General features: G+C 37.3%; 1 protein-coding gene across 12 annotated transcripts in view, besides 8 other annotated features; it reads right to left on the bottom strand.

Annotated features, from left to right (window-relative positions):
- ADGRV1 (adhesion G protein-coupled receptor V1) overlaps positions 1 to 17,168 on the bottom strand; it is a 605,641-nt gene that overhangs the window by 186,544 nt on the left and 401,929 nt on the right. For all 12 annotated transcript variants that reach the window (NR_003149.2, XM_017009963.3, XM_017009969.3 and 9 more), the window contains one exon: positions 12,363 to 12,479. Coding sequence is in view for 11 of the 12 variants with exons in the window: in XM_017009963.3 (XP_016865452.1) it covers positions 12,363 to 12,479 (117 nt within the window). In the remaining variant the exon portion in view is untranslated. The remainder of the gene's footprint in view (positions 1 to 12,362; positions 12,480 to 17,168) is intronic.
- Positions 883 to 1,027: an enhancer, noted in NCBI's record as "145 bp 5:90272756 sequence used in MPRA reporter constructs". NCBI's record gives its function as "activates a minimal TATA-containing promoter with rs6881586 allelic activity by MPRAs in C283T melanocytes {active_cell/tissue: C283T}" and the evidence as "EXISTENCE:reporter gene assay evidence [ECO:0000049][PMID:36423637]".
- Position 955: a transcriptional cis regulatory region, noted in NCBI's record as "rs6881586 or 5:90272756 MPRA-significant variant associated with a GWAS melanoma risk locus at 5q14.3". NCBI's record gives its function as "allelic transcriptional activity by MPRAs in C283T melanocytes {active_cell/tissue: C283T}" and the evidence as "EXISTENCE:reporter gene assay evidence [ECO:0000049][PMID:36423637]".
- Positions 4,263 to 4,407: an enhancer, noted in NCBI's record as "145 bp 5:90269376 sequence used in MPRA reporter constructs". NCBI's record gives its function as "activates a minimal TATA-containing promoter with rs6452920 allelic activity by MPRAs in C283T melanocytes {active_cell/tissue: C283T}" and the evidence as "EXISTENCE:reporter gene assay evidence [ECO:0000049][PMID:36423637]".
- Position 4,335: a transcriptional cis regulatory region, noted in NCBI's record as "rs6452920 or 5:90269376 MPRA-significant variant associated with a GWAS melanoma risk locus at 5q14.3". NCBI's record gives its function as "allelic transcriptional activity by MPRAs in C283T melanocytes {active_cell/tissue: C283T}" and the evidence as "EXISTENCE:reporter gene assay evidence [ECO:0000049][PMID:36423637]".
- Positions 7,571 to 7,715: an enhancer, noted in NCBI's record as "145 bp 5:90266068 sequence used in MPRA reporter constructs". NCBI's record gives its function as "activates a minimal TATA-containing promoter with rs10056755 allelic activity by MPRAs in C283T melanocytes and UACC903 melanoma cells {active_cell/tissue: C283T | UACC903}" and the evidence as "EXISTENCE:reporter gene assay evidence [ECO:0000049][PMID:36423637]".
- Position 7,643: a transcriptional cis regulatory region, noted in NCBI's record as "rs10056755 or 5:90266068 MPRA-significant variant associated with a GWAS melanoma risk locus at 5q14.3". NCBI's record gives its function as "allelic transcriptional activity by MPRAs in C283T melanocytes and UACC903 melanoma cells {active_cell/tissue: C283T | UACC903}" and the evidence as "EXISTENCE:reporter gene assay evidence [ECO:0000049][PMID:36423637]".
- Positions 9,245 to 9,389: an enhancer, noted in NCBI's record as "145 bp 5:90264394 sequence used in MPRA reporter constructs". NCBI's record gives its function as "activates a minimal TATA-containing promoter with rs6884254 allelic activity by MPRAs in UACC903 melanoma cells {active_cell/tissue: UACC903}" and the evidence as "EXISTENCE:reporter gene assay evidence [ECO:0000049][PMID:36423637]".
- Position 9,317: a transcriptional cis regulatory region, noted in NCBI's record as "rs6884254 or 5:90264394 MPRA-significant variant associated with a GWAS melanoma risk locus at 5q14.3". NCBI's record gives its function as "allelic transcriptional activity by MPRAs in UACC903 melanoma cells {active_cell/tissue: UACC903}" and the evidence as "EXISTENCE:reporter gene assay evidence [ECO:0000049][PMID:36423637]".

The following is a 17,168-nucleotide window of genomic DNA, read 5'->3' as shown; positions in this document are numbered from 1 at the left end:
GGGAGAAGTATACTTTTCAGAATTAGTAATTCAGGCTATTGGAATTTAAACTGATTCTGTGTTAAATGCAAGCAACCAACTGAAATACCCAGATATAATTTAGGTCAAATATAGATAGCAGTAAACTAAAAGACTGTGTCTATAAGCATATTTACTTACATTCCTACACAAACCTATCTATTTATTTTTACAATAACATTTTCCCTACTATTTTTCCCAATATCCAGATAGAAAAATTGAAGACATATCTTGTTAAGTGTTTTGATTGTCATAGGCCATAGTTATGATTTCATATGTTCCATAAACACACATTCATTCGCTTATTCATATATCTTCATATAATGCATATTAGCATATGAGTAAAATATAAAGGAGAAATGCCTTTTAAAGTTAAAAATAGGCTATTTGAACTCCATAATTTTCATGGTATATGAAATAAAGATTGGTATCCTGACTGTTGTTTAATAGTTGATTATTAACTGTGTCACCAGAATCCTCAAACTGACTATAGCAACAAGTTTAGTTACAGATCACAGATGCTATTAATTCTGTCTATTCCATATGCCCTTAATCATTCATTTCAGATGGGAGTCTAAGAAATGTTATCCCTCGTCCTTGCCCCAGTTCTCCTCCCTCTTTCTTAACATTTATTGCATGAAATAAATTGCAAGACTTTTTGAGGACTGGAGAATTCAGTATTTTCTGGGTATGTCATTTTTATCTTGATAATTCCCAGTCTGTTGTCCTTAATACCTTTGATGTCCCCCAAAATTAAATCAACGATGAACGAGAAACAAGGCTAATTTTAGCATTTTCCTTCCTGTTTTGCTATGCTCTGGCACTAAGTAGCCTTTCTACCAAGGAATAAATAACACGCACATTTGCTTGTTCATAGCCTGGTTATATTGAGAAAATAACGCACAAGATGTGAATGCTCAAGTACAACTGTAAAATAATTTCTAACCTTATTCTACCATTTTAAAAATGTGTTCTTCAATTAAGCTGTAGTTTCAAAAGAAAAGATTATATTTCAAATTAAGCTGTGACTCTAGGCATGAGATGAGCAGACTGCAAAAACAATGCAAGGGTTGTATATCTTTCATAACTGATGCAGACTGCTATACAATCATTTAACTTGGTGACAGGAAGTGATCATAAAATTCGGCCAAATGAATATACAGGCAAAAATCATTTGTCTGCTTACCTATATCATATATGAATATCTCAAATAATTTACTTGCAATTTATTTACCTCATGCTTTGGAAATCCAACTGAGAGCATGTTTCATGTAGACATGAATAGCAAAGGCATAATTCCTAGGAATTTATTCTATGGATATGGCTCAAGTAAACAAATATTCAGAGTGCAAGGGTGTTCAAGGACACATTGTTTACTATAGCAAAAAGTAACACAATACCCAAAAAATAATGTAATTTCATCAACTGGAAGCCAGAAAAATAACTTATGTAATAATCATATTATAGCATAGGAAAAAGGTATACCCATGCATGGTAAACTTAAAGATGTCCATATATACATATACATATATATATATATATATATATATATACACACACACACACACACACACACATATACACACACATACAGATACACGTAAACATATATACACTATATATAAATATATGTACATTGTGTATATATATATATATATACACACTCACACACAAGAACACATGTCTGCTTATTTAAATATTTATAAATATTTGTCTATGCATGGAATATTGATGGAGAGATACACAGGAAAACAGTAGTGTTTACTTTCAGGAATTGGCATTGAGGGTAGAGCAAAGAATGGAGAATGCAAGAAATAGTGAGAAAAAGATGTACTTTTTATTTAGTATTCGATTATGTTTTGTACCATTAGTATATGCTATCTCTAAAATGAAACCAAATCAGAACAGAAGAAGGAAAAACAGAACTAGCAAAACAGAGTAAAGATACTGCAAGATTTTAAATTCTTACTGTCAATTTTTCTTAAAGTAGATATAACCCTGCCTTATTATTTTTTTTTTATTATTATACTTTTAAGTTCTAGGGTACATGTGCACAATGTGCAGGTTTGTTACCTATGTATACATGTGCCATCTTGGTGTGCTGCACCCATTAACTCGTCATTTACATTAGGTATATCTCCTAATGCTTTCCCTAACCCCTCCCTCGACCCCAGGACAGGCCCCGGTGTGTGATGTTCCCCTTGCTGTGTCCAAGTGTTCTCATTGTTCAATTCCTACCTATGAGTGAGAACATGCGGTGTTTGGTTTTTCATCCTTGTGACAGTTTGCTGAGAATGATGGTTCCTCCAGCTTCATCCATGTCCCTAAAAAGGACATGAACGCATCCTTTTTTATGGCTGCATGGTATTCCATGGTGTATATGTGCCACATTTTCTTAATCCAGTCTATCACTGATGGACATTTGGGTGAGTTCCAAGTCTTTGCTATTGTGAATAGTGCCACAATAAACATACACGTGCATGTGTCTTTATAGCAGCATGATTTATAATCCTTTGGGTATATACCCAGTAACGGGATGGCTGGGTCAAATGGTATTTCTAGTTCTAGATCCTTGAGGAATCGCCACACTGTCTTCCACAATGGTTGAACTAATTTACAGTCCCACCAACAGTGTAAAAGTGTTCCTATTTCTCGACATCCTCTCCAGCACCTGTTGTTTCCTGACTTCTTAATGATCACCATTCTAACTGGTGTGAGATGGTATCTCATTGTGGTTTTGATTTCCATTTCTCTGATAGCCAGTGATTATGAGCATTTCTTCATGTGTCTGTTGGCTGCATAAATGTCTTATTTTGAGAAGTGTCTGTTCATATCCTTCGCCCACTTTGTGATGGGGTTGTTTGTTTTTTTCTTGTAAATTTGTTTGAGTGCTTTGTAGATTCTGGATATTAGCCCTTTGTCAGATGAGTAGGTTGCAAAACTTTTCTACCATTCTGTAGGTTGCCTGTTCACTCTGATGGTAGTTTCTTTTGCTGTGCAGAAGCTCTTTAGTTTAATTAGATCCCATTTGTCAATTTCGGCTTTGGTTGCCATTGCTTTTGGTGTTTTAGACATGAAGTCCTTGCCCATACTTATGTCCTGAATGGTATTGCCTAGGTTTTCTTCTAGGGTTTTTATGGTTTTAGGTCTAATATTTAAGTCTTTAATCCATCTTGAATTACTTTTTGTATAAGGTGTAAGGAAGGGATCCAGTTTCAGCTTTCTACATATGGCTAGCCAGTTTTCCCAGCACCATTTATTAAATAGGGAATCCTTTCCCTATTGCTTGTTTTTCTCAGGTTTGTCAAAGATCAGATGGTTGTAGACGTGTGGTATTATTTCTGAGGGCTCTGTTCTGTTCCATTGGTCTATATCTCTGTTTTGGTACCAGTACCATGCTGTTTTGGTTAATGTAGCCTTGTACTATAGTTTGAAGTCAGGTAGTGTGATGCCTCTAGCTTTGTTCTTTTGGCTTAAGATTGTCTTGGCAGTGCAGGCTCTTTCGTGGTTCCATATGAACTTTAAAGTAGTTTTTTCCAATTCTGTGAAGAAAGTCATTGGTAGCTTGATGGGGATGGCATTGAATCTATAAATTACCTTGGGCAGTATGGCCATTTTTACAATATTGATTCTTCCTATCCATGAGCATGGAATGTTCTTCCATTTCTTTGTGTCCTCTTTTATTTCATTGAGCAGTGGTTTGTAGTTCTCCTTGAAGAGGTCCTTCACGTCCCTTGTAAGTTGGATTCCTAGGTATTTTATTCTCTTTGAAGCAATTGTGAATGGGAGTTCACTCATGATTTGGCTCTCTGTTTGTCTGTTATTGGTGTATAAGAATGCTTGTGATTTTTGCACACTGATTTTCTATCCTGAGACTTTGCTGAAGTTGCTTATCAGCTTGAGATTTTGGGCTGAGACAATGCAGTTTTCTAAATAGACAATCATGTCATCTGCAAACAGGGACAATTTGACTTCCTCTTTTCCTAATTGAATACCCTTTCTTTCTTTCTTCTGCCTGACTGCCCTGGCCAGAACTTCCAACACTATGTTGAATAGGAGTGGTGAGAGAGGGCATCCCTGTCTTGTGCCACTTTTCAAAGGGAATGCTTCCAGTTTTTGCCCATTCAGTATGATATTGGTTGTAGGTTTGTCATAAAGAGCTCTTATTATTTTGAGATACATCCCATCAATACCTAACTTATTGAGAGTTTTTAGCATGAAGAATTGTTGAATTTTGTCAAAGGCCTTTTCTGCATCTGTTGAGATAATCATGTGGTTTTTGTCTTTGGTTCTGTTTATATGCTGGATTACGTTTACTGATTTGCATATGTTGAACCAGCCTTGCATCCCAGGGATGAAGTCCACTTGATCATGGTGGATAAGCTTTTAATGTGCTGCTGGATTCGGTTTGTCAGTATTTTATTGAGGATTTTTGCATCAATGTTCATCAGGGATATTGGTCTAAAATTGTCTTTTTTTGCTGTGTCTCTGCCAGGCTTTGGTGTCAGGATGATGCTGGCCTCATAAAATGAGTTAGGGAGGATTCCCTCTTTTTCTGTTGATTGGAATAGTTTCAGAAGGAATGGTACCAGCTCCTCCTTGTACCTCTGGTAGAATTCGACTGTGAATCCATCTGGTCCTGGACTTTTTTTGGTTGGTAGGCTATTAATTATTGCCTCAATTTCAGAGCCTGTTATTGGTCTATTCAGGGATTCAACTTCTTCCTAGTTTAGTCTTGGGAGGGGGTATGTGTCCAGGAATTTATCCATTTCTTCCAGATTTTCTAGTTTATTTGCATAGAGGTGTTTATAGTATTCTCTGATGGTAGTCTGTATTTCTGTGGGATCGGTGGTGATATCCCCTTTATTAATTTTTATTGCATCTATTTGATTCTTCTCTCTTTTCTTCTTTATTAGTCTTGCTAGTGGTCTATCAGTTTTGTTGATCTTTTCAAAAAACCAGCTCTTGGATTCATTGATTTTTTGTAGGGTTTTTTGTGTCTCTATCTCCTTCATTTCTGCTCTGATCTTAGTTATTTCTTGTCTTCTGCTAGCTTTTGAATGTGTTTGCTCTTGCTTCTCTAGTTCTTTAATTGTGATGTTAGCGTGTCAATTTTAGATCGTTCCTGCTTTCTCTTGTGGGCATTTAGTGCTATAAATTTCCCTCTACACACTGCTTTGAATGTGTCCCAGAGATTCTGGTATGTTGTGTCTTTGTTCTCGTTGGTTTCAAAGAACATCTTTATTTCTGCCTTCACTTCGTTATTTACCCAGTAGTCATTCAGGAGCAGGTTGTTCAGTTTCCATGTAGTTGAGCGCTTTTGAGTGAGTTTCTTAATCCTGAGTTCTAGTTTGATTGCACTGTGGTCTGAGAGACAGTTTATTATAATTTCTGTTCTTTTACATTTGCTGAGGAGTGCTTTACTTCCAACTATGTGGTCAATTTTGGAATAAGTGCGATGTGGTGCTGAGAAGAATGTATAATCTGTTGATTTGGGGTGGAGAGTTCTGTAGATGTCTATTAGATCCGCTTGGTGCAGAGCTGAGTTCAATTCCTGGATATCCTTGTTAACTTTCTGTCTCATTGATCTGTCTAATGTTGACAGTGGGGTGTTAAAGTCTCCCATTATTATTGTGTGGCAGTCTAAGTCTCTTTGTAGGTCTCTAAGGACTTGCTTTATGAATCTGGGTGCTCCTGTATTCGGTGCATATATATTTAGGATAGTCAGCTCTTCTTGTTGAATTGATCCCTTTACCATTATGTAATGGCCTTCTTTGTCTCTTTTGAGCTTTATTGGTCTAAAGTCTGTTTTATCAGAGACTAGGATGGCAACCTCTGCCTTTTTTTGTTTTCCATTTGCTTGGTAGATTTTCCTCCATCCCTTTATTTTTAGCCTATGTGTGTCTCTGCCCATGAGATGGGTCTCCTGAATACAGCACACTGATGGGTCTTGAGTCTTTATCCAATTTGCCAGTCTGTGTCTTTTAATTGGAGCATTTAGCCCATTTACATTTAAGGTTAATATTGTTATGTGTGAATCTGATCCTGTCATTATGATGTTAGCTGATTATTTTTCTTGTTAGTTGATGCAGTTTCTTCCTAGCATCGATGGTCTTTACAATTTGTCATGTTTTTGCAGTGGCTGGTACCAGTTGTTCCTTTCCATGTTTAGTGCTTCCTTCAGGACCCCTTGTAGGGCAGGCCTCGTGGTGACGAAATCTCTCAGCATTTGCTTGTCTGTAAAGGATTTTATTTCTCCTTCACTTACAAAGCTTAGTTTGGCTGGATATGAAATTCTGGGTTGAAAATTCTTTTCTTTAAGAATGTTGAATATTGGTCCCCACTCTCTTCTGGCTTGTAGAGTTTCTGCGGAGAGATCTGCTGTTAGTCTGATGGGCTTCCCTTTGTGGGTAACCCAACCTTTCTCTCTGGCTGCCCCTTAACATTTTTTCCTTCATCTCATCTTTGGTGAATCTGACAATTATGTGTCTTCGAGTTGCTTTTCTCGAGGAATATCTTTGTGGCATTCTCTGTATTTCCTGAATTTGAATGTTGGCCTGCCTTGCTAAGTTGGGGAAGTCCTCCTGGATAATATCCTGCAAAGTGTTTTCCAACTTGGTTCCATTCTCCCCATCACTTTCAGGTACACCAATCAGACGTAGATTTGGTCTTTTCACATAGTCCCATGTTTCTTGGAGTCTTTGTTTCTTTTTACTCTTTTTCTCTAAACTTCTCTTCTTGCTTCATTTCATTCATTTCATCTTCCATCACTGATACCCTTTCTTCCAGTTGATCAAATCGGCTACGGAGGCTTGTGCATTCATCACGTAGTTCTTGTGCCATGGTTTTCAGCTCCATCAGGTCATTTAAGGACTTCTCTACACTGGTTATTGTAGCTAGCCATTTGTCAAATCTTTTTTCAAGGTTTTTAGCTTCTTTGCGATGGGTTCAAACTTCCTCCTTTAGCTCAGAGAAGTTTGATCATCTCATGCCTTCTTCTCTCAACTTGTCAAAGTCATTCTCCGTCTAGCTTTGTTCTGTTGCTGGTGAGGAGCTGTGCTCCTTTGGAGGGGGAGAGGTGCTCTGACTTTTAGAATTTTCAGCTTTTCTGCTGTGTTTTTTCCCCATCTTTGTGGTTTTATCTACCTTTGGTCTTTGATGATGGTGACGTACAGATGGGGTTTTGATGTGGATGTCCTTTCTATTTGTCAGTTTTCCTTCTAACAGTCAGGACCCTCAGCTGCAGGTCTGCTGGAGTTTGCTGGAGGTCCACTCCAGACCCTGTTTGCCTGGGTATCAGCAGCAGAGGCTGCTGAACAGCAAATGTTGCTGCCTCATCGTTCCTCTGGAAGCTTTGTCTCAGGGGTACCCGGCCATGTGAGGTGTCAGTCTGCCCCTACTGGGGGATGCCTCCCAGTTAGGCTACTTGGGGGTCAGAGACCCACTTGAGGAGGCAGTCTGTCCATTCTCAGATCTCAAACTCTGTGCTGGGAGAACCACTACTCTCTTCAAAACTGTCAGACAGGGACACTTAAGTCTGCAGAGGTTTCTGCTGCCTTTTGTTTGGCTATGCCCTGCCCCCAGAGGTGGAGTCTGCAGAGGCAGGCAGGCCTCCTTGAGCTGCAGTGGGCTCCACCCAGTACGAGCTTCCCTGCTGCTTTGTTTACCTACTCAAACCTCAGCCATGGTGGGCACCCCTCCCCCAGCCTCGCTGCTGCCTTGCACTTCGATCTCAGACTGCTGTGCTAGCAATGAGTGAGGCTCCGTGGGCGTGGGACCCTCCGAGCCAGGCACGGGATATAATCTCCTGTTGTGCCATTTGCTAAGACCATTGGAAAAGCGCAGTATTAGGGTGGGAGTGATCCGATTTTCCAGGTACTGTCCGTCACCCCTTCCCTTGGCTAGGAAAGGGAATTCCCTGATCGCTTGCACTTCCCTGGTGAGGCGATGCCTCGCCCTGCTTCGGCTCACGCTCGGTGGGTTGCACCCACTGTCCTGCCTCCACTGTCCGATCAGGCCCCGTGAGATGAACCCAGTACCTCAGTTGGAAATGCAGAAATCACCCGTCTTCTGTGTTGCTCACGCTAGGAGCTGTAGACTGGAGCTATTCCTATTTGGCCATCTTGGAACTGCCCCAACCCTGCCTTCTTAAGGGAGAAATGATTTCAATAGTTTCAAGGAGTGATCTTACATGAAGAGCAAACAGATGGATAATTCAATATCTATGGCCAAGAAAGGAATTTATGAATTGTTTCCTTTTAAAAAATAAGCAAAATAATTTGTTAATACATCCTCGCTTTGCACTGTGTGACTTCTCTGTCAAAGAAAAGGGAAGCCTGAAGAAACAGAGGCAAGGCTGCTATTTATGGAGCCTGTTATGAGCCATGCATCTACTTTAATAAGGAGTTAAAGGTTCTCCAGCTTGCTAAGGCTTTGCAGCTAGTTAGTGTCCACCTCACTCAAAGTCGGACCTCTTTCCACTACATGAAGATGATCTTCTTTGGTTAAAAAGAAGGTATAAATTTATATTGGAATAGCAGAGTATTCAAGATGTTTTCAAATCTATGAAATTTTAGCCACAACATATTATCTTAACAAATAATATGGGTAAATATGTACAGAGTATGCATTCTGTCCCAGACACCATTTCAAGTTCATTCTATACATTAATTCATTTTGTCTTTTCACAGTCTGTAAAGAGAGGTACTGTTATTACAACTTGAGTTTTCAAATAAGAAAATCAAGGCTCAGAGAGGTTATGTAACTTGTTTACCAATAAAATTTTCCCTAAGCTACTCTAAAATATAATCTAACTTTATTATATGGCACTAAAAGTATAGGATATAAAAGTAAAATAATTTTCAAGATAAAGTCATTTCAATGTATTTATTCTAAGACTGAAGATACGCAGATAAAAATAAACGTTAACAATTCTGACATGCTTAACTCAGTAATTACAAATTAATGATTAATTTATTGTCATTATAAGCTATGCACAGACATATGTAGTATCATATTCGCTCCTATATTACTAAAAAAATGAAGTAGAATCATTAAAGTAAAAACTTCTCTCAATTTTATTCAACCTAATTCAACTAATAGGATTGAACTAATAATAGTCTAACCTTCTACATAATGTTTTTAAAACGGATTTTAGAAAAAAAAAGATTTCAGCAGTCACTGTTTTATAAATGGGAATATGTAGGTTGGTGAAGTGCAACCTCTGATCATAAAATAATTCATTAAAAGTAACCTAACTAGAATTCAGAACTGACTGACTTTTTCCCTTGTGGTCAAATCACAAACCATGAAAAATGTGTGGTGTACCATCTGAAATACATTAAACTTCACTGGTACTTTAAATAGCTTTCCTAAGCCATTAGCCATCCAGAATCTAATTGGTCTACTAAATGTGAATCAGGCACAATCATATTTACCTAACTCAAAGAAGAGATGTAGAATATACCAATCTTCATTAACTTGGGTGAAATCTTATATATGATTTTGTCTAATGCCCCTGAAAGCAGAAAATCCATCTAAAACATGTTTGAAAGTTGGTCATTTCCCTCTCCATATATTTCAGTGATTGAATTTACTCTACTTTTAGAAAAGCCTCTTCAACTTTGACAGTTTTATTGCTATGAACACTCTTAACCTGAATCAAAAATTTCCTTCCCTAATTTTTGACCCATTTGCTCTGAGTTGTGCCAAATGGAGCTACATAGTCCACCCTTTCCTGCAGTAGCCCTTCCGGTATTTGTAGACAGCCATCACATTTACCTAAATTCTTTCCAGGTTAGTTATGTCCAGCTGCCTCAAAGTTTCTTAGGGGGTTGTTTTCCAACTTCTCATTGGATAATTAATGTTCCTGCTGAAACACGACCCATGAGAGTGGTTGCTATGTCCCAAAATAGTCTGAATTTTGTAAATTACAACGTAAACATGTCTGCTTCCATACTGCTATCAACGCAACCTAGGTGTGTGTTGTTTTTGTAGTTACAGTAGTTGTTATTGTTAAGCATTCTGGTCACATATTCAATTGCTGCTGAGTTTATGTTAAATTATAATTTTGAGTAATTTACATTAACTTCCATCAGATGATGTCTCTTTCACTCTAGTTTTTAATTTATCACAGTACAGTTTCTCTTCATTGGCTCTACTTGTAATCTTAATGCAGGCAGCTCTCTGTTGCAGCTGTCCTTTCAGTTCTGTACCACGTACATATCTGATAAGCAATTTCCTGTGTTTTCATCCAAGTAATGAATCAAAAATTCTGAATAGGTCAGGGGCATGGACAAAGACCTTTAGCATAGCACTGGGGACCTCAATACAGGCAGACAGATAACAACATAAATAGGGCACATTTAAAAAAGTTTAACTCAGATAAACTCTTACAGAATTTTGCAATCAGAAAATCTCGCAAATGTTATTCTAATTTCAGCAGATATGTAAGTTTTATGTTATATGGTTTAAATTCACTTTTATTTGCAAATTTTTTTGAGAGGGGAGCTTGAAAACACCATTAATTTTCCATGATTAAAACTGCTCAAAGAGCTATAAAATATTAATAATAATTCTATGAGTTAGGAATTATTATCCCTATATGCAGATTTAGAAACAAATCTTGGAGAGAGTCAATAGCTTGATTAAGCTTACACAGATAGTGGCAGAGCCAGAATTCAAATCCAGATCCAGGGTGCCACTTGTTTCAACTAGTTCTATTAGCTAAATAGTTCAGTTCTCTTCTTCAGCCCCCACTACTATCATATCATACTGGGGAAAACAACCCTTCCTTGAGCCTGTGTGGTATGTGGTATTCTCTCATAATACCACCACCTCACTTTCTTTCTCCTTTTACCATTAATTCACTGTTGCTACATCATCAAGTCCCACAACCTTCCTCTTCAACAAGAAAAAAGAATATGCAAGGGCCTGAATGCATCTGTTTCATTAAAATAGTTTACATCCATACTCAGAAATGCATATGAAACAGTATCACATGAAAACCTTAAAAATACCATTACACAGAATGCATTACCAAAGGCAGCATTTTAGTTGAGCCACTTAAATACTACGCACCATCCTCCTCTCTTAGCCTCTTTATCGACCAAATCAGCATAGAATAATGGAGAGAATTTGGGATTTTATTTAGAAAAGGAAAATTGAAATTTCTCCCCCAACATTTACTAGTTCCTCAGGGGAGTATGCTAGGACTCTACTGGTCTCACTCTGTACCTTCTCGCCAAGTAATCTCTTCCAAACCAATGGCTCCATTTTCCAACTCTAAGCCAATAGCTTCCCAGTGCATTTCTTTCTTTCTTTCTATTTTTTTTTTTTTTTTTTTTGGCAGAGTTTCGCTTTTCTCGCCCAGGCTGGAGTGCAATGGTGCCATTTCGGCTTACTGCAACCTCCGCCTCCTGGGTTCAAGTGATTCTCCTGCCTCAGCCTCCCTAGTAGCTGGGATTATAGGTGCCCACCACCACGCCCAGCTAATTTTTAATATTTTTAGTAGAGATGGGGTTTCACCATGTTGGACAGGCTGGTCTTGAACTCCTGACCTCAGGTGATCCGCCTGCCTTGGCCTCCCAAAGCACTGGCATTCCCAGTGCATTTCTAAATGTATCGCCCTCTCCTCAAAGTTCCCACTGGAAGTCTCATAGGCACTTCACATTCAGCATGTCCCAAACGAAACTCACCAGCTCTTCCCCATTGTTCAGTGATCGTAATTTCTGTTACCACTATCCACCAGATACCCGGCCAGAAATTTGGGAAGCATCCTGGGTTCCAACTTCTGCATTCCCCACAACAAGTCTTCACATCCTATAGTTCTAGCTTAAAAAAATCTCCAAAACAGTCCACTTCCCTTTGCTTCTACTGCCACCTCCTTAGTTCACGCTACCATGATTTCCCCATGAATACAGCTAAATCTACTTAATTGGCTTGCCTATCCACTCTTTCCTGTCTCATATTCACTACAAACAGGGAGATCTTTCTAAAATCTAAATCTTATCATGTCACTCCTTTGCTTAAAATCATTCTATTACTTTTCCTAGAAAAATGTTCAAATTTCCAACTGTGCTTTAAAGGGCCCACATTGCAGACTTCATCTCTAACCACTCCCTTGTTTCCAATCCTACTAGATTTCCATCATTTCTTCAAACTCACAATGCTCTCTACTGTTGTACAGCTTATAGGGTGTTTTTATTTGTCATTTATATCCTGAGAATGCAGTGATGGATATACGGAATTACTTCTACTTCAGTACAGAGTATCAGACATTAAGACCACTCCACCCAGATTCATTAAAAGATTAAAGGGGCGGGGAGAGGGAATGAGGTACCAACCTGAATGAGCATCCAGCTAAACTGGCAAAGATACAGGTAATGTGTGACAGCAGCCATAGCTGAACAGCTCTCCTCAGCGAGTTGGGGACTTGCGTATGCAGACGCCAGAAACAGAATCTGTAAGAAACAGATACTTCTATTTTTAAAATATGCTAAAATCGATGAAGAATATTAAGAAAGTAAACTGCTTTCTTATCTAAATCTATGACTCAGTGATTCCATGTGAAAGTAAGTTGACTTCTTGCCCAAACTGATATGACTAAGAGTCATTCTAAAAATGGCAATATATGGATTTTTATATTTCTAAGAAACAGCGCATGATATGAAATTATGCTACATGTTGCTCTAGGCTCTCAAGAGAAAATTCTCAAAGTAAACCTTGTTCTTATCATTGATGAACAAAAATCCCATGAAATACATTTATTTTAGCAAAGTAGAAAATAGTGGAAATGCCACTCCTTGTGAAAATCAAAGCTAATGGGAGAGAAAAGAAAGAAAAATAAAATCCTTGACTTTACCATCACCTGCAGCCTCTTGCCAGGAAGTAACATAGATAACAAAATAGACTTAAAATGAGTTTAAAAATTCAAATTCTATGGTTATCCTAATTTTTGGATTTTTATTTCAAGTGCCTTCAAGCCTTTGTTCAAAAGTCACAATGAGGCCTCTCTTGACCACACTAAATTTCCTTCTCACACACATAATTCCCCTAACTCTACTTCTCTCTCACTCTCTCTCTCTCTTTTTTAACCAGCACACATCACCTTCTAACATGCTTTGTAATTTGCATTTTTTTTTTTTTTTGGCTATTAGTCTCACCTCCTAGAATATAATCCCTGCAAAGACAGGATCGTTGACTGTTTTACTCACTAATGGAACCCAAGCACCTAGCTCAGTGACTGGCACATGATAGGTACTCAATAAATACTTGCTGAGTAATGAGCAAGTGAAGTGAAAGACTCTTTGTGATTTCTATCTTTTTGTATTTTCTCCAATAAATGACTACTGTGTCAAATATTGCAATGATGAGTGTAGATGGCAGGGGGAAACTTGGAGCAATAATATTCTGCTGTAAATTCTCAATGAATAAACTCTGGCTCCCCCTTATAGACAGGAATCAACTTTTTGACTGTATTTTCAGAGGGTACCACTATGCCTGGAATATAGAGATGATCAATAAGCGTTTATTAAAAGAATGAATGATTTATTCCAAAAGGACAGAGGAAAAAACTAGTTGACTTATGCCTTAAAACCTCTTAACTTTTAAAAAGAAAACATGAATGCTTTTAATGCTATTTGAATTTATTAAAAAAACAATAATGTGCCCAAAAATAAATAAGACCATGGAACAAAATGTTGTTTAAATTTCAAGTGAAATATACCCTTCCCCAATCCTCTTGTTACCAAGGACATGTCCCTCAACTCCCCTTGAAAATTTCTACTCAAGTGTATTGGTAGGGCAGCATCCCTGTGGTAAATTCATTAGGATCTGCAGTGAGGCTTTGCATGTTCCCAAAATCTCAATTTCACAATGAAAGATGCACCTTAACCTGATTCCTCAGTCAATTACATAAGACCCAACATGCTAATTTAAAATTAATAATTATTAATAATCACCAATAATTTATTACTATAATTGATATTGCCTGTAAATTAATCTACAATATGTATCTCTTATGCCGAAGTGACTCTTCTTGGAAACTATTCATTAAGTACCTTCCTGTGCCTGCCTGATCAAGTATAGATTTTTAAAAAATCTTTTTTTTCAAGCTACAGACAGTGAACGAGTCATTTTCCCCTTCTACTTCCCTCATCAATAATAGAAGGAAGTTGGGAAAAATCAACTCCAAAGTCCCTTTCTACTCCAAGACTCCAGAACAATTTTTAAAATGAGAAGTACCTTGATTCAACTTTCTGTTTACTTAGCCCTAGATTTGGTGCATTTGTAATACACACTATTAAAAAGAACGCATGCCAGCATTTAAAGCAGAAAATAGAAATTTATGTAACATTATTTCCTGACAATCTGATACAAATGAGTTCCCTTAAAAAAAAAGTCCACAAATTCACCTTTCTAGAATGCACCACAACATAGCTTTTGAATTATTAGAGATTATGCTTATATTTTCCTTGACTTTTTTGTCTAATTTTACCATTTATTCTGACCTTTATTATAGGTCAGAAATTAAACCTTCCTAAATTCCACAATTATTCCTTGAACACCTTCTATGCACTAAGCACTGGAACTATGACTTAAGAGTATGGTATGGTTTAGCAAAAATAAATAAATAAAGGATAAAAAAGCAATCATTTTAACATTTCATGTTCTGTCTTTTTACAAAGGTGCATCTATTTCCATAAAGTCTTCATAAATTTACATACAATAAATTCAAGCCTTTCTAATTCAGATTCTATTATATGGATTGTGTTGAAGTTTACTTCGTAGTTTTGTTCTAATCAACTTATGTAGGTTGTTATGTAATAGAATAGTGTAATCCAAATTATAATTGAATATGTTTAGCTTTAAACATTCTATGAAACTATTTATAAGTATATGCTAACTTAAATAATTCTTTTCTTTTTCAATATGTTTTCTTTGAAGCAATTAAATCAGTACAGGTTCTTGTTTAAAACTGTATTTACTTTCAGAATAGTTTTAACATCCAAAATTCTATTCCTAAGCTATGATTTGATATTTTATTACACTCTAATCTCCTTTTCTAAATTATAAGAAGATCAGTTACAAATCTACTTTTGTAAATCATGAAAGTTGTTCCAGGTTATTATCTGAATTATGGGAATTGCTTCTGTCTGTACAGGAGATTAGTCAGCAAGAGGAGGCTGAGCTGTCACATTGCACACTGCTATAAAAGGGATGCACAAAAAATACTTGGAGAACTAGGTATTAAATGTGACCAGGCCTACCCAAAATTTCATTAACTTAATTTAAGACAGAAATAAAATGAGACCAAGAAAACAAAATAAATAAAATCTCCCAGCATATTTAGCTTTCTCATTTTTAAGGCTACATAACCTAAAAATAGATGGAGCTTCACCATTGTTCTTTTATTCAAACACATAGAGATTACCAGAAAAAAGGTTATTTTCACAGTCAGTTCTCTGAAAGCATTAAGTTGAACATGAACAGAAAAAAGGAATTTTTCAAAGGTTCTCAGTTGTTCATACATTGATTTATTCAGTATGAATGAGTGCTTAAGTACCCTCTATCTACAAAGTATTGTGCTGGGCAAGATGAAGTACATGATTACAGAAAACTGCTGTATACCAGCATGGCGCTACATGTTTTCCCTCGTTCTTTTGTGTATAACTCACATATTAATGATGTGAAACTATTATTGTTTGTATCCCAATTTAGTAAATAACGAAGGAAGAACTATAGGATAATTAACATGTTTAAAGGTCCTTAAACAAGTTTTAAATTTAAATTGGGATTCAAATTCTGGTATCCTGATTTGCAGGAGCAGCATTCTTTCTTGAGCACCATGCTACTGCCTACAAAGCTAAATCGAGCACAGTCCCCTCTCGAAGTGCTAACATTCTAGGTCACTGTTTCTCAATTCGTTTTACTCCATGGCCCACCACAGGCTCATAATGACAATCAAATATAATGCCAAGAGCAAATATAATACTATTCTCAATTCCATTTTTATATAACATATACACAACTTAAGAGAAAAGAAAAATAAATATAGTTCCCCCAAAAAGTATTTGAGATATTCTTTTTAAAATGACTTATAAAATTCTCTGCTTATTCTGATTGCTTAGAGCTCTACTGTGCCAGCCAACGAAGGAAATGAAGAGTAAATACTTTTTAGAAAACTTAAATATACAGCATGTGTCCCCGCTTGCTTGGGCTAAATAACAACTAATGATAAATATTAGTTTTCCTATAAACCTCAATTCTCAGTGCTCCTTAATATATACACCCTCCTCCCTCAGTTTACTACGGATACTCTCACTCCTTTCCCTATAAAATTATTCTTGAAATGACCGCCACCCCCCCTTTTTTTTTTTTTTTTTTTTGAGACGGAGTCTCCCTCTGTCACCCAGGCTGGAGTGCAGTAGCACGATCTTGGCTCACTGTAACCTCCGCCTCCCGGGTTCAAGCGAATCTCCTGCCTCAGCCTCCGGAGTAGCTGGAACTACAGGGCGTGCCACCATTTTTTGTATTTTTAGTAGAGACGGGTTTTCATCGTGTTAGCCAGGATGGTCTCGCTCTCCTGACCTCATGATCCGCCCGCTTCGGCCTCCCAAAGTGCTGGGATTACAGGCGTGAACCGCTGCGCGCGGCCAAAACTAGTCAGTTTTTAAAGGACCAGCTCAAATTCTACCTGCTTACTCTGATCATGGCAGATACCTAGACTATCCTATTTTTTAAAGTGGGAGCATTTTGTTATCGAGCATTTATAATGAGCCAAATGTAGTTCTTTCTAATAGACGGGTGCCTAAGGGTGAAGCTAGACACATGATACAATAAAATGTGACAAGTATTGTAGCAGGGTATGGAGCAAAATATTAGGAGAATGCAGAGTATTAGGAGAATGAGAGTATTAGCGCTGCTTGTGGGGATTCAAAGAAATTTTCAGAGAGAAAACCCAAGTCCCATCTGCCCCACTTTCTCTTGCTAAGTTTATCTTCCATAAGACTCTTCGTACACCATTCTATCCAAATGCATTTACTGCTATTCCCTAAACATACTTCTTCATGTCTTGACTCTTGCCTTTGTTCTTCCTCTTCCTTTTATCTAGAATTTCTTTTTCTCATCTTCCCAGGTTGAACTCATGT

Source organism: Homo sapiens, chromosome 5, assembly GCF_000001405.40.
Source record: "Homo sapiens chromosome 5, GRCh38.p14 Primary Assembly".
In the NCBI taxonomy this organism is placed as follows: Eukaryota; Metazoa; Chordata; class Mammalia; order Primates; family Hominidae; genus Homo; species Homo sapiens.
Note: the sequence above shows the minus strand (reverse complement) of the source record. Positions and strands in the feature narration are given on the sequence as shown.